This window comes from Homo sapiens, chromosome 15 (assembly GCF_000001405.40).
Source record: "Homo sapiens chromosome 15, GRCh38.p14 Primary Assembly".
NCBI lineage: Eukaryota > Metazoa > Chordata > Mammalia > Primates > Hominidae > Homo > Homo sapiens.
In genome coordinates this window covers 59,368,501-59,382,208 of record NC_000015.10, presented here as the reverse complement: position 1 = coordinate 59,382,208, position 13,708 = coordinate 59,368,501, and the positions used below count along the sequence as shown (strand labels likewise).

Below are 13,708 nucleotides of genomic sequence, written 5' to 3'. Positions count from 1 at the left end.
AATAGAAACCTGTGCTTAAAGCACACGGATTTGTCTTTGAACTTTATATATCTGACATTGGTGTGTGTTTTGGGAACGTGTTCTATATGAAGGTAGAACTCTCTTGCATTGTTGTATGTTTTGGATGTACATGTAAACATGTGAATCCTATGAGGACTGGGAACTTGTCTTCTACTTCTCCAGCACCTACAACAGTGCTCAGTAAAGGTTGGTTGTGGTGGTGAGTGATAACAGTAGTCAGTTGGAAACCATGCTGCCATCATGCTGAACACCAAGAAACACTCTATTCAATCTCCCCAAGTGTTTGTAACAATATATTGAAAAACATGTCATCTATCTGAGCATGGTGGCTCACACCTGTAATTCCAGCACTTTGGGAGGCCGAGGAGGGAGGATCGCTTGAGCCCAGGAGCTTGAGACCAGCCTGGGCAATATAGCAAGACCCAGTCCTACAAAAAAAGAAAAAAAAATTAGCTAGCCATGTTGGCACCGCCTGTAGTTCTGGCTACTTGGGAGGCAGAGGCAGGAGGATTGCTTGAGATATGTGTTCACACCACTGGAGTCCAGCCTGAGTGACAGAGTGAGACCCTGTGTCAAAAAAAAAAAAAAAAAAGAAAAAAATGTCATCTTAAATACACACACACAACACACACATCTATGTGTTTACACAAATATTTAAAGGCATGTAATCAAAAACACATTTATAAGTACATGATAATAAAGGAAAAATGATGTCACATCTCAAGTATGTAAACACATTTACAGGCACAATGATGATAAAGGGGAAATGATGATGATCATTACAAAGGCCATACATTTTTTTCTATTGAAGAGGTGAACGGAATTACCCTCCTGGACTCACTAAGTGTAGAAATCGAGGCAGCAGACAGGCAAAGTCAGCAAACTGCTGCATGCCCTAAATTTGGAGTGTCTACCCTGTCTTCCTTCCCCAGAGACTCTGTCCCCATCTGCCATCTCTTTTTAATGGGGCAGTAAGCTTTAGGACATCACTCCTCTCACAGCATTTGCTTGGAATGTGACTGGACAGGCACCTGGTCCCAGCAGAGCCTTCCTTGTCAGTGACCTATGACCTGGGTGGCGTGATTTAAAAGGTTGAGCTGGGTGAGTCAGATTCTTTCTTTTTTTCTCTCCGTCCCTTTCTCCCTATGGAACTTGAATCAAAAGTCTAGAGGGCAGTTTCCAGTGAGCTGTGGGCAACATTGTAAAAAACGTTATTCTAGGGCCCAAGTCAGATCGTGACAGGCTACAGGCACTTTGCAAGCTGAAATCGGGGAAGAGGAACAACTGTGAGTTAAGTGGGAGAAGCTTCAAGAGACAGACAAGAAAAGAACATCCAACCACGCAGAGATGCACAGCCCTGCCTTCTTTTGTCTTGTTTTTCCTGGGCTCCTGGGCATGTATACTTTAAAAAAAAATTTCTTTCTGGCCTAGTGAAGTGGCTCACGCCTATAATCCCAGCACTTTGGGAGGCTGAGGCACTTGGATCACTTGAGGCCAGGAGTTCGAGACCAGCCTGGCCAACATGGCAAAACCCCATCTCTACTAAAAATTCAAAAATTAGATAGGTGTGGTGGCACGTGCCTATGGTCCCAGCTACTCGGGAGGCTGAGGCATGAGAATCGTTTGAACCTGGGAGGCAGAGGTTGCAGTGAGCCAAGGTCGTGCCAGTGCACTCCAGCTTGGGTGACAGAGTGAGACTCTATCTCAAACAAAAACAAAAACAAAAGCAAAAAAATAAAGCAAAGGCCAGGCATGGTAGCTCACGCCTATAATCCCAGCACTTTGTGAGGGTGCAGCGGCTGGATCACTGGAGATCAGGAGTTAGAGACCAGCCTGGCCAACATGATGAAACCCTGTCTCTACTAAAAATACAAAAATTAGCCAGGTGTGGTGACGTGCACCTGTAATCCCAGCTACTTGGGAGGCTGAGGCAGGAGAATCGCTTGAACCTGGGAGGCGGAGGTTGTAGTGAACCGACATCACAACACTGCACTCCAGTTTGGGCAACCGAGTGAGACTCCGCCTCAAAAAAAAAAACAACATTATTTTCTTTAAAGTAACCCATGTGCTCTTCTGATCCTTGTTAGTAAAAGAGACTAAATTGGAGCAACACATAACGGCAGAAAAAAGTCTCTCTTGGCCAGATGTGGTCACTCACCTGTAATTCCAGCAATTTGGGAGGCTGAGGCAGGAGGACAGCTTGAGGCCGGGAGTTTAAGGCAGCAGTGAGCTGTCATCATGCCATCATACTCCAGTCTGGGCAACAAAGCAAGATGTCATCTCAAAATAAATGAATGAATGAATGAATAAATAAATAAATGAATAAATAAATAAGTCTCTGCCAGTGGAGGATATAAACACACACACACCAAAAAAAAAAACACAGGAGAACCATATAAGTACAGCAGTCCAAGACCATGAAAGATAGTGGCAAACAGTCATTTCATCTGACAGTCCCCCAGGACCTTGGTTCGTGCAATCCTGTGCAATAATCAATATTTATGGTAATGACCTTGAGTCTTAAAGCAAAAGCTGCCTGACATTCAATGTATTTTCAGAAGTCCATGAAATGTGTAGTTTCATTCAGAAAAAACTTTTCTTAAAGTTAAAAAAAAAAGTCTTGGTATCTAAAAATGACAAGATTTGGCTGGGTGTAGTGGTTTATGCCTTTAATCCCAGCACTTTGGGAGGCTGAGGCTGGAGGACTGCTTTAGCCCGGAGTTCGAGACCAGCCTGGGTAACATGGTGAGACTCTGTCTCTACAAAAAATAAAAAAATTAGCCGAGCTATAGGTAGTGTGTACCTATGGTCCCAGCTACTTGGGAGGCTGAGACGGGAGGATCCCTTGAGCCTGGCACAGTGATACCTGTTTGTGCCTCTGCACTCCAGCCTGGGAGACACAGTGTGGTGCTGTCAAACAAACAAACAAAAAAACAAAAACAAAAAAAAAAAAAGAAAGAAAAGAAAGAAAAAAGGAAAAAAGGCAAGGTTCATGCAGAGATTTGTTATTTTTTACTTTTTGAAATGCACATATTTATTGATCCATGCCTTGCCTTGTTGTAGCAAAGAGCTCAGATGACTTATAAGAATACACAGGATCCAACAGGAAAGTAAACATTGACAGTGAGTGGGGAAAATAAAGAACATCAAGGTATGGACAAGAGATTTAGTTATCTGCAAAGCTCATTTCCATGGACTTCCTCATTCCTTGCTAGATCATGGACCACCATAACTAGTATTAATCATTGTTTCAACTCCAAATTTTTTAGATTTGGAGAAAGATCAAGGTTTATCTTCTGAATGTAAAAATCAAATTGAAACTGGAAGAAAAGAAAATATTGATTTAAATCAGAGAAAATATAATAATAAATCTACACAAACATGCTTTTAATAAGCTGCTAATTTAAGCATATATTTAAATCATTTCTATTCCTTTACTTCAGTAAAATAATTCTTAAGGCAAAATAATTTTATTTTATTTTATTTTTTTTTGAGACAGAGTCTCCCTCCGTCACCCAGGCTGGAGTGCAATGGCACTGTCTCGGTTCACTGCAACCTCTGCCTCCTGGGTTCAAGTGAGTCTTCTGCCCCAGCCTCCTGAGTAGCTGGGATTACAGGCACCTGCCACCACGCCCGGTTACTTTTTTGTATTTTTGGTAGAGATGGGGTTTCACCATGCTGGCCAGGCTGGTCTCGAATTCCTGACCTCAGGTGATCCACCTGCCTCGACCTCCCAAAGTGCTGAGATTACAGGTGTGAGCCACCGTGCCTGGCCTTAATTTATCTTAATCAGAAGTAGCATCATGTTACATTATACAACTGGTGAAATTCTCTTCAACATCCTTTTTATAAACCAATATCAACATACTGGGGGAAAAAGTGTTTAGAGTTAAACTTACTGTGTAAATGTAATTTTTATATTCCATTAAAAAGCAACAATTTTTCTGGGAGCTCTGGTTTGGAAAGGCTCACGGGGTTTTAATAAGTGTGTTCCTATTCATTTTGGGCCTGCATTAGGGACAATTTCTTCTGATGGACATTTCTATTACGCAATCACTGCTTAAAGGGTAATAGTGTAGGCTTCAGAGCCAGACAAATGTATGTATTTGATGCAGGATAGCTGAGTAATAGCTTGGTCAAATTACTTTAAGTCTTCTCAACTTAGTTTCTTAACTGCAAATGGAGCTAACAGGGTCGTATGGAAGATTACATAAGATATTGCACATTAAGCACTTAGCTCAGTAGCTAATAGCTAGTGAACCTAATACATGATGTATGTTATGATAAAAATAGTGATTGTAGAGGACATTTCACACTGATATGATACAAGTCTCTCTTTCATTAGTGTCTTGTTAAAGGTTTCTAATTTTCCCATTGACAAATTTTCTTTTTTTTTTGGAGATGGAGTCTCGCTCTGCCACCCAGGCTGGAGTGCGGTGGCAGGATCTTGGCTCACTGCAACCTCCGCCTCCCGGGTTCAAACAATTCTCCTGTCTCAGCCTCTACTACAGTTGGGACTACAGGTGCAGGACACCATGCCTGGCTAACTTTTGTATTTTTAGTAGAGACGGGGTTTCACCATATTGGTCAGGCTGGTCTCAAACTCCTGACCTCGGGTGATCCACCTGCCTTGGCCTCCCAAAGTCCTGGGATTACAGGTGTGAGCCACTGTGCCCAGCCAAATTTTCTTTTCTTTTCTTTTTTTTTTTTTTTGAGACGGAATCTCACTCTTTTTGCCCAGGCTGGCCCGCACTGGCCTGATCTCGGCTCACTGCAATCTCCGCCTCCGGGGTTCAAGAGATTCTCCTGCCTCAGCCTATCGAGTAGCTGGGATTACAGGTGCCTGCCACCACAGCCAGCTAATTTTTTTTTGTATTTTTAGTAGAGACAGGGTTTCACCATGTTTGGCCAGGCTGCTCTCCAACTCCTGACTTCAGGTGATCTACCTGCCTCAGCCTCCCAAAGTGGTGGGATTACAGGCGTGAGCCACCGCACCAGCCCCACATTAATTAACTTTAGTGTTGTGAGTGCATTCTGAATGATTTTTTATGGTATTGACAGGGAAACTAGTTTTATTGCTCGATATTATTTTCTTGCTGCTTTCCAAAATGCATAAACAATGATTTAGTTCACTGATAGATTTATACAGAAAATTTTACTTTGTATTCATTTTGATTTTTTTATTTGTTCCTTTTCATTCAGCCCCAGAAAAAATGCAATTAATCATGCCAAGGTATTTACAAAGCCTTATCTGACTAGCTCCATCATGTGTCTAGAATGAGTTTTACAATTTTAAAAGTTGCTTCCACTTCACTGCTACTATGGTCTTGAATAAGAATAAATATCTGGCTGGGCTCAGTGGCTGAAGTCTATAATCCCAGCACTTTAGGGGGCTGAGGTAGGCAGATCATTTGAGATCAGGACTTTGAGAGACCAGCCTGGTCAACATGGCGAAAACTCATCTCTACTAAAAATACAAAAATTAACCAGGTGTGGTGGTGGGCGCCTGTATTCCTAGCTACTCTGGAGGCTGAGGCAGGAGAATCACTTGAACTCAGGAGGCAAGAGGTTGCAGTGAGCCGAGATAGAGCCACTGCACTCCAGTGTAGGTGACAGAGCATCTCAAAAAAAGAAAGAAGGCCGGGCACGGTGGCTCACACCTGTAATCCCAGCACTTTGGGAGGCCGAGGTGGGTGGATCACGAGGTCAGCAGTTCAAGACAAGCCTGGCCAAGATGGTGAAACCCCATCTCTACTAAAAATACAAAAATTAGCTGGGTGTGGTGGCGGGTGCCTGTCATTCCAGCTACTTGGGAGGCTGAAGCAGAGAATAGCTTGAACCCGGAAGGCAGAGGTTGCAGTGAGCCGAGATTGCGCCACCGCACTCCAGCGTGGGTGACAGAGCAAGACTCCGTCTCAAAAAAAAAAAAAAAAGAAAGAATAAATATTTGGCAATATATTACTGAATCCTCTGAAAAACAGATGGAAATCAGAATTGGGAAAATGTTCCTTTTTTTTTTTGAGACAGAGTCTCGCTCTGTCTCCTAGGCTGGAGTGCAGTGGTGTGATCTTGGCTCATTGCAAGCTCCGCCTCCTGGGTTCACGCCATTCTCCTGCCTCAGCCTCCCGAGTAGCTGGGACTACAGTCACCAGCCACCATGCCTGGCTAATTTTTTGTATTTTTTTTTTTTTTTTAGTAGAGACGGGGTTTCACCATGTTACCCAGGATGGTCTTGATCTCCTGACCTCGTGATGCACCCGCCTCGGCCTCCCAAAGTGCTGGGATTACAGGCGTGAGCCACCACGCCCGGCAAAAACTGCTTTTATATATATATATGACTTTATAATAATCTCATGCTCATATATATTATAAAATGATATATAATCATATATAAATCATATGTACATATAAAATCTCATATATATTATAAAAAATGAACACAAGCATACATCTTCATCAAAGTCCTGCCTACTACAGTTAGATGTACCTCTTGAAACTTGGAAGAGATTATAGATTATTAGGGCAATAAAAGTAAACGCTAAAACATTTTTTTAAAAAATCAGAAATGATGATATAATGGACTAATAGTCTCAAGGTAGTTTTTGATAAATCCAAGACTGATCAATTGTCAGTCGACTGTCAATGGCTTATTAAGAGATTTTCAGTGTTTCATTGTATACCTGGGCTAATCTTGGGAAACAAACTATGCCTTTGTCTGTACATCTCAAAGCCCATGTCAATCTGACTACTAATGAGGGTTGACCATGGATGGGATGGTGTCTTAGGTAGTGTTTCTTGTGTTACTGGTAAGCTGACACTTCCGTCTTGGTAACCTCTGTTCATACACTCCTAAAATTCCTGATAGGTTTTGTTGTTGTTGTTGTTGTTGTTGTTGTTTTGAGACAGGGCTTCACTCTGTTGCCCAGGCTGGAGTGCAGTGGCACGATCAAAGCTCACTACAGCCTCGAATTCCCGGCCTCACATGATCTTCCTGCCTCAGCCTCCCAAGTAGCTGGGACTACAGGCATGCACTATAATGCCCAGCTAATTTTTATTATTATAATTTGTTGATAGAGACAGAGTCTTGCTATGATGCCCAGGCTGGTCTTGAATGCCTGGCTTCAGGCAATCCTACCATCTTGGCCTCCTAAAGCGCTAGCACTGTAGGCATGAGCCACTGAGCTTGGCTGACCTAATAATATTCTGAAGCTGATATTTCCCTATGAGATATGGAGTCAGACTTATCTGAGACTTTATCATGTCTGTGTGTACCTAGGCAATGCCTAGTACAGATGGCATGCTGTTTTCTTTCCAATTCATACTACATAACTATGTCAGATGAATTTCCTGCCCTAAACTATAGCTCCAAATATGGCAGTTCCTTGCACAAAACTACTGTCGCATTTCATTATGCTTGCTTCTTTCCTGTATTTATTCTTTCTAAAAATTTATCGTTTGTTTTCCCCATCCTAAAATTGTAAGCTCAGTGAGGGCAGGGACCAGTTGTAGCTCCAGTGTTTAGCTGTGCTGTCTTATAACACACATTCGATTATATTGTTGCCAAACTATGTAAATGATTACTACAAGAATTTGGACAATATGATTTTCTTTCAACTTTTAAAAGTGAGATATAATGAACGTACCATAAGACTCACCCATTTAAAAAGCATAACACAGTGGTTTTTAGTATATTCATAAACTTGTACAATCATCACCACTAATTCCAGAATATTTTCATCACTTCAATAGGAAAATGCATACCTGTTAGCAATTACTTCCATCTCCCCTCTCCCCCAGCCCCTAGCAAACCACTAACCTACTTTTTATCTCTATAGATTTCCCTATCCTCAACTTTCATTTAAATGGAATTATATAATATGTGGTCTTTTGCTCCTGGCTTAACACGATATTTTCGAGATTCATCCATGTTGTAACATTTTGTTTACCCTTTTAGACAAGATAAAGTTTAATACCCTTTCTAACTCTATGCTCAGATAGTCAAGTGAAGAGCTACAACCAAATTTCTTTTTCCTTTCTTCCTTTCTTCTCTCTCTCTCTCTTTCTTTCTTTCCTTCTTTTTTTTTTTGACAGAATCTTGCTCTGTCGCCCAGGCTGGAGTAGAGTGGAACGATCCCGGCTCCCTGCGACCTCCGCCTCCCCTGTTTAAACGATTCTCGTGCCTCAGCCTCCCGAGTAGCTGAGATTACAGGCATGTATAACCATGCCGGGCTAATTTTTGTATTTTTAGTAGAGAAGGGGTTTCACCGTGTTGGTGGCCAGGCTGGTCTCAAACTCCTGACCTCACGTGATCCACCAACCTCAGCCTCCCAAAGTGCTGGGATTGTAGGCGTGAGCCACAGCGCCCTGCCTCAACCAAATTTCAGAAAGTATCATAATATCATTATGCTTCATAGTTTCTCTATGCCCTGAAGTTTACCAATTTTATCTTCTACAGATTCCAGGAAGGCAGCCTGTTAAGACTCACCAAATTTACTTCCTCAGCCTCCAGAACAATAAAATCAAACTCCCTACCTTGATTTTAAGATTCTGCTTCCCCCCACCCCGCCCCACCCCAATCTTCTCCTTGGATATTCGACAGTCTGGAATAATGCATTTTTACAGTTCTGATTGTTTTCAGCAGATGTGTTGGCTGAGGTTGGATGGGGTTTCTTCCCACCTATCTCTCCTCTCTCCTTCCCTCTGCCCACTGCACGTGCAACAACTTTTCTGCCATCAAAACGTGCAAAAAAGAAACAAGAAAGAAAGGAAAGAGAAAGAAAAGAAAAACAGAAAAAAGAAAAGAAAAAGCAGCCGGAAGTCTTCCTTTGTTTTCCAAGGAAATTCAGGTAAAAGGAGGGGTGGGGAAATGATATTTTTGACTTTGCTCACAATCCAGACGTAGGAAAGAAAAAGGATTTCCTTTGGGCTGCTGCCACGACTCTGATGTTTTATGCTGATAAAATATTTCCTTCTTAAAAAAAAGTTCTGGGAAAATCATGCCCCTTCAACTTGGAAGCGAAACCCACCCTAACTTTCGTCTTAAAACGCAGCGAAGTGAAAGGTTTGCTCCTCTTTCACGAGGGTTTTGTTCCTTACAGTTCGGGTCTTGCTACCAGGAGCGAGCTGGGTCCGCAGCGTTCTTCGGTGGCTGGCGCGGGAGGAGGACTACAGGATCCAGAGATCTTTGGAAACTCCAGCAGCTCCAAGCTTGTTGGCTACTACGGTTTCCCTGAGGAGTGACGCTACGAAAACAAACCCTGATTGGTCAGGCCTGAGCTGAGTTCTCCATTTATGGACAGATTGCCCGGCCCGAGCCGAGACTCAGCCAGAGGAGTACGGATTAAGTGGCCGAAGAAAGAGGAGTGAGGCAGGGGAGCGAGGCGGACGCTCCGAGCGCATCGGACTCACCTGGGCCGGCGGCGACCGGCGAGTACGAGTGGACTCTTGCCCTCCGCAGCATGCGCCCCGCCTGCTAAGTCGCCGCCGTCTCGCCCTCACCTAGCACCGCCAATCCCGCCTGGATGGAGTCCCCTCTGGGTTCCCATTGGCTCCTGTGAGTGCTTGGGTGTCGGGAGCCTGTTTTTGGCGAGGGGAACCAACTTTTGAAGTTCGCCCAGAAGACTGCGTTCCAGCCCCAGTTCCCCGGCAGCGGGACCCGGCGAAGACGCGACCGCGGCGCGAGTCACCATGGTGAGTTGGCCGCGCCGCGTCCTAGGACGCCGGACCCGGGGACGGGGCAGGAAACCCCGGCGTGGTGCACCCACCTTGGGCGCGCTGCCGGGGCCAGGGGTGGAGAAGGTGGACGCGGGAGCCGGCACGTCGCGAGCTCTGATTTCCTGCCGCTTTCCGTAAACCCGGGCCGGGGGAGAGCGAGCGAGGGGCCAAGGAAAACTTTATTCCAAGTCGGTTTCTGCGTCGCGAAACTTTCTGTGGCCGGGTTGCTATGGCTGCCAGCTGTCGGAAGCCAGGGTGTGGGCGCATCGGCTGCGAGGGGCACGGCGCGGGAGGGGGTCCCCTCCTCCTGCTGGGACGTGGGGGGCGCAGCCGGCAGGGGAGGTGCTCGGAGACTCGCGCCGCAGCCGCTGGCGGCGTCCCCTGCCCTCCCCGCGGCCGTGCCCGCCCCGCCCCGGGCACCCTCGCGCCGACTCCCTCTCCTCCCCGCCGCCGCTCCGCTGCCCGGCAGCGCCCGCAGCTGTCCCGCCTGGCAGCGGCACGCGGGCGGGGGCGGTCCCTGGCCCGCCTTGGCGAGGGGCGGCGCGGGCCGCACAAAGGCAGGCGGGGGCGCCAGGTAGGGCGAGCACCTGGCGGCCGGCGGGCTGTCAAGAGCCAGGGAGACTCGGGCGCGGGCGGCAACCACGCCGCCCCGGACCTGTGCCGGGCGCCGGCCCCGAGGGTCTCCGCGCCCCGGACGCCAAGTAAACACCTCCTGAAGAGGACCCCACCCCTTCCCAAGCGCGAGGGGATCGGGGCTTTTCGGGGATCCAGGGGACGCTTCGCACGGGAAGACGCCCTCGCGAGTTTCGAGTTTGTTGCTGTTTTCCCTTTGGCACTTTGGGAATGTGTGGAAGGGGCCGCCTCTTTGACTTGTGACTTTTCTGCTATTCCAACTCCCCAGTCCAGCTACACTCCCCTCCCTCCCTGTATAACCTTAGCCACCTCCCTTGGGCTTTGGCGTGGTGTACTTTTCTTTGCGGGGCACGAAAGCAAGGACTCTATTTTGAAGAGATCGGCAGTTCATCAAAAAAAAAAAAATCTATTACAAGGCTTCATAGTTTCCACACTTGCTTCTTTTCAAGTAGTCCTGCTTAGGTGGATTATCTCGTCCTCTTCTGGTTTGCTGTTGTTTTCTAATGGCTGTGGAAGAGAAGCCAAGTCAAAATGATAACCAGCACAACACTAATTAAAAAATCGATATCCCGGTGAGCAGCCTGAGGGAAGTGCAGCAGAGGCCCATCGAAACCTGCACACAAAGCTCAGAAGCCCCCTTGCCCCGTGCTGTTTATTCCAAAGAATGATTACAAACAAACATCAACGAGAAACCTTTCAAGGCATCCTCGGCCAAAGCCTTTTCTTTTTACATAGTCCAAAATTAAGTCACTTTTGCCCCATCTAAGAGAACACTTTGTCTATACATTTCCTCTTCTAGTTTTAAGGTTTAAGAAGTCAGTCTACTCTACGTTACTTTTGGACCCCTTCCCTCACCCCAGCAGAGAACCATTCCCATTGGGCATGTGTTTGGGTGAAGCTACCTCACTGGGCACCTGGTCCCTTGAAGCAGTGTGATAGTCCTGGTACTTGAGAATTGCTGTAATCATTTTCCGTGGGTCAATATTTCTTAAAAAAATCAATGTGTTTATGTCAAGAACTTAAAGAATCTTACTGAATTTAAGTACTTGAGTGGTACCTTGAGGAAATTAACTTCCCCTCAGTTAAACTCATTTTTCATGCTGAATGGACTGAAATATACTCTAGGTTGCCTTTTCCGAAACCTGTGATACCATGCTTAATTCAGCCCCATTGCAGATGAAGTAGAGGGTTGGTCAAATGCATGCGAAGAAGGCATGCTGTAGGGAAGAGGTGGTTCTATCTGAGGACAGTGTGTGACTTCCCTATTGATGGGCTCCCTGCCATCAGCACAGATGGGCATGTTGTGTGCCCCCAGGCGACTATCTGTGCATCAGATATGGTTGCTGAAGTCACAATTCACTGATGGAAAAGTTGAAACAGCTGGCTGTCCTGAAACAGGAGATGTGCCATTGATAGATCTACTGGATCCAGAGTGATTTGGCCAAAGTTAATCATTTCTTTCCTGACTTGAAAAATTGTTCATTATGTATGTGAAGTTGCCTTAGAATAGAGCATCATCTTAAATAATCAGAAACCCAAGTTACAATATTTAATGTTTATGTCAGACTCTGTCAAGCCAAATGATACTTCATTTTGTGTTCCACATCTGCCCAGGCCTGCCCAAGTTGTATCCCTTCAGCTGCTTAGAACAGGAAGGGAAAGGACATTACCTTCTTTGGGTGTGGCTGAAGATTAGCATGGAGGCTAAAATTCATCAGAAGGCCCTTGGCGGCCAGGCGCAGTGGCTCACGCCTGTAATCCCAGCACTTTGGGAGGCTGAGGCAGGAGGAATACTTGAGCCCAGGAGTTCAAGACCATCCTGGGTAACATAGTGAGACCCTGTTTCAGTTAAAAAATATTAAGAAGAAGAAGAAGAAAAAGAAGGCCCTTGGCTGGGCTATAGGGAGAACACCTATACCGTGGACTTCTTCTGTGTGAGTGTGTGTGTGTGCGTGTGTCTTTTAGGAAGTCTGGTAGCATAGTAGGAGGGCTCTCCATCTGTACCTGAGGCCCTACTAAGACTCATTCAGTTGTGACTCATAAGGAAAATAGCCATTTTCATTTTCTGACTCATGAACACAGTGTACAGCTTGTAGTTCACCTTCTATCTTCCTCCTGAAAACTCACTTTGGGACACTTTTCTATCTTGAGAAAACTAGGAACACTACCAGGCAATAGTTACTTGTGTCTTTTTCCTAAGGAGACTTGAAGAAGTTAAAAAAAACCCTGCACATCTTTATAATTTAGTGGAGGTTGTTTAGCAGAGTACAAAAAAATCTCTGTTGACTTTAACCGTAATACCCATCTAAGGCTTCCTTCGTAGAATCTGGGCTTATCATCATCTGCAAAGGAAGTTCTGCTTTTGTGGCCATGACCAGTTTGGACTCTCTGATAGACTGAAACCCATGGCTGTAGGTCCGCTATGTGCTTTGGATCCAGAAATTGTGATTGATTTTTATGCAAGGTTTCTGTGCATTAAATATACAGAAATATTTGAGCAAATCTGAATTGACCATCACCTCAAAACATGTTCAAGAGCTGTTCCCTTTTCCTTACTTGCATATACTTGTGAGGAAATTATAGATATGACACATAAGAATACCCAGGAATAGATTTACAACCTAGAAATCTGATGGATAGCTGATGATAAGGTAGGTAAGTTCCTTTAGGTGATGGCATGGCATGTATTTAGAAAGTCTGGAATACATTTCAAATGTTTCCTGGGAAGGTAACCTACTTGATTTCCACAGATTAGTTTATCAGATTGCTAGTAGTCTCCTAGTCAAAACAACACAATACAACAAAACAAAACCAGAAAGGAATGGGATCAAGCACAAAAAAAGTTTTGATGGAGGCAAAGCGTTGGGGAAATACCTAGAGTCCGGGACATTATCTAGGGACAAGTGTGAGTGGGCCATCCTAGTGGGAAATATTTGACAGCCCAGGCATCTCCTTGGAGAGAAAATGGGTGGAGCAGTGGATGGAGAGGGATGGAGAAGTATAAGAAGCAGACATTTACTGAAGTTGAAAGTCACCTCCACCACACTTTTGCTGAGGACTACAGTCTTGTCAGTGGTTGCAAACTTTTTTTTTTTGAGTTGGAGTCTCTCACTGTCGCCCGGGCTGGAGTGCACTGGCGCGATCTCAACTCACTGCAACCTCCGCCTCCCGGTTTCAAACGATTCTCCTGCCTCAGCCTCCCAAGCAGCTGGGATTACAGGTGCCTGCCACAACGCCCAGCTAATATTTTGTATTTTTTAGTGGAGACGGGGTTCCACTATGTTGGCCAGGCTGGTCTCAAAGTCCTGACCTCGTGATCCTCCTGCCTCGGCCTCCCAAA

General features: G+C 45.3%; 1 protein-coding gene across 1 annotated transcript in view, besides 4 other annotated features; it reads left to right on the top strand.

Annotated features, from left to right (window-relative positions):
• Positions 1,644-2,145: an enhancer, noted in NCBI's record as "H3K4me1 hESC enhancer chr15:59672263-59672764 (GRCh37/hg19 assembly coordinates)". NCBI's record gives its function as "activates a minimal SCP1, AML or CMV promoter by ChIP-STARR-seq in primed H9 embryonic stem cells {active_cell/tissue: H9 hESC(primed)}" and the evidence as "EXISTENCE:reporter gene assay evidence [ECO:0000049][PMID:30033119]".
• Positions 9,050-9,554: an enhancer, noted in NCBI's record as "NANOG-H3K27ac-H3K4me1 hESC enhancer chr15:59664854-59665358 (GRCh37/hg19 assembly coordinates)". NCBI's record gives its function as "activates a minimal SCP1, AML or CMV promoter by ChIP-STARR-seq in naive H9 embryonic stem cells {active_cell/tissue: H9 hESC(naive)}" and the evidence as "EXISTENCE:reporter gene assay evidence [ECO:0000049][PMID:30033119]".
• MYO1E (myosin IE) overlaps positions 9,338-13,708 on the top strand; it is a 240,438-nt gene continuing 236,067 nt past the window's right edge. The window contains exon 1 of the mRNA NM_004998.4: positions 9,338-9,711. Coding sequence (NP_004989.2) covers positions 9,709-9,711 — 3 coding nt within the window. The 5' untranslated portion in view covers positions 9,338-9,708. The remainder of the gene's footprint in view (positions 9,712-13,708) is intronic.
• Positions 9,555-10,058: an enhancer, noted in NCBI's record as "NANOG-H3K27ac-H3K4me1 hESC enhancer chr15:59664350-59664853 (GRCh37/hg19 assembly coordinates)". NCBI's record gives its function as "activates a minimal SCP1, AML or CMV promoter by ChIP-STARR-seq in naive H9 embryonic stem cells {active_cell/tissue: H9 hESC(naive)}" and the evidence as "EXISTENCE:reporter gene assay evidence [ECO:0000049][PMID:30033119]".
• Positions 10,074-10,393: a silencer, noted in NCBI's record as "silent region_6488". NCBI's record gives its function as "represses an Ori minimal core promoter by ATAC-STARR-seq in GM12878 lymphoblastoid cells {active_cell/tissue: GM12878}" and the evidence as "EXISTENCE:reporter gene assay evidence [ECO:0000049][PMID:35858748]".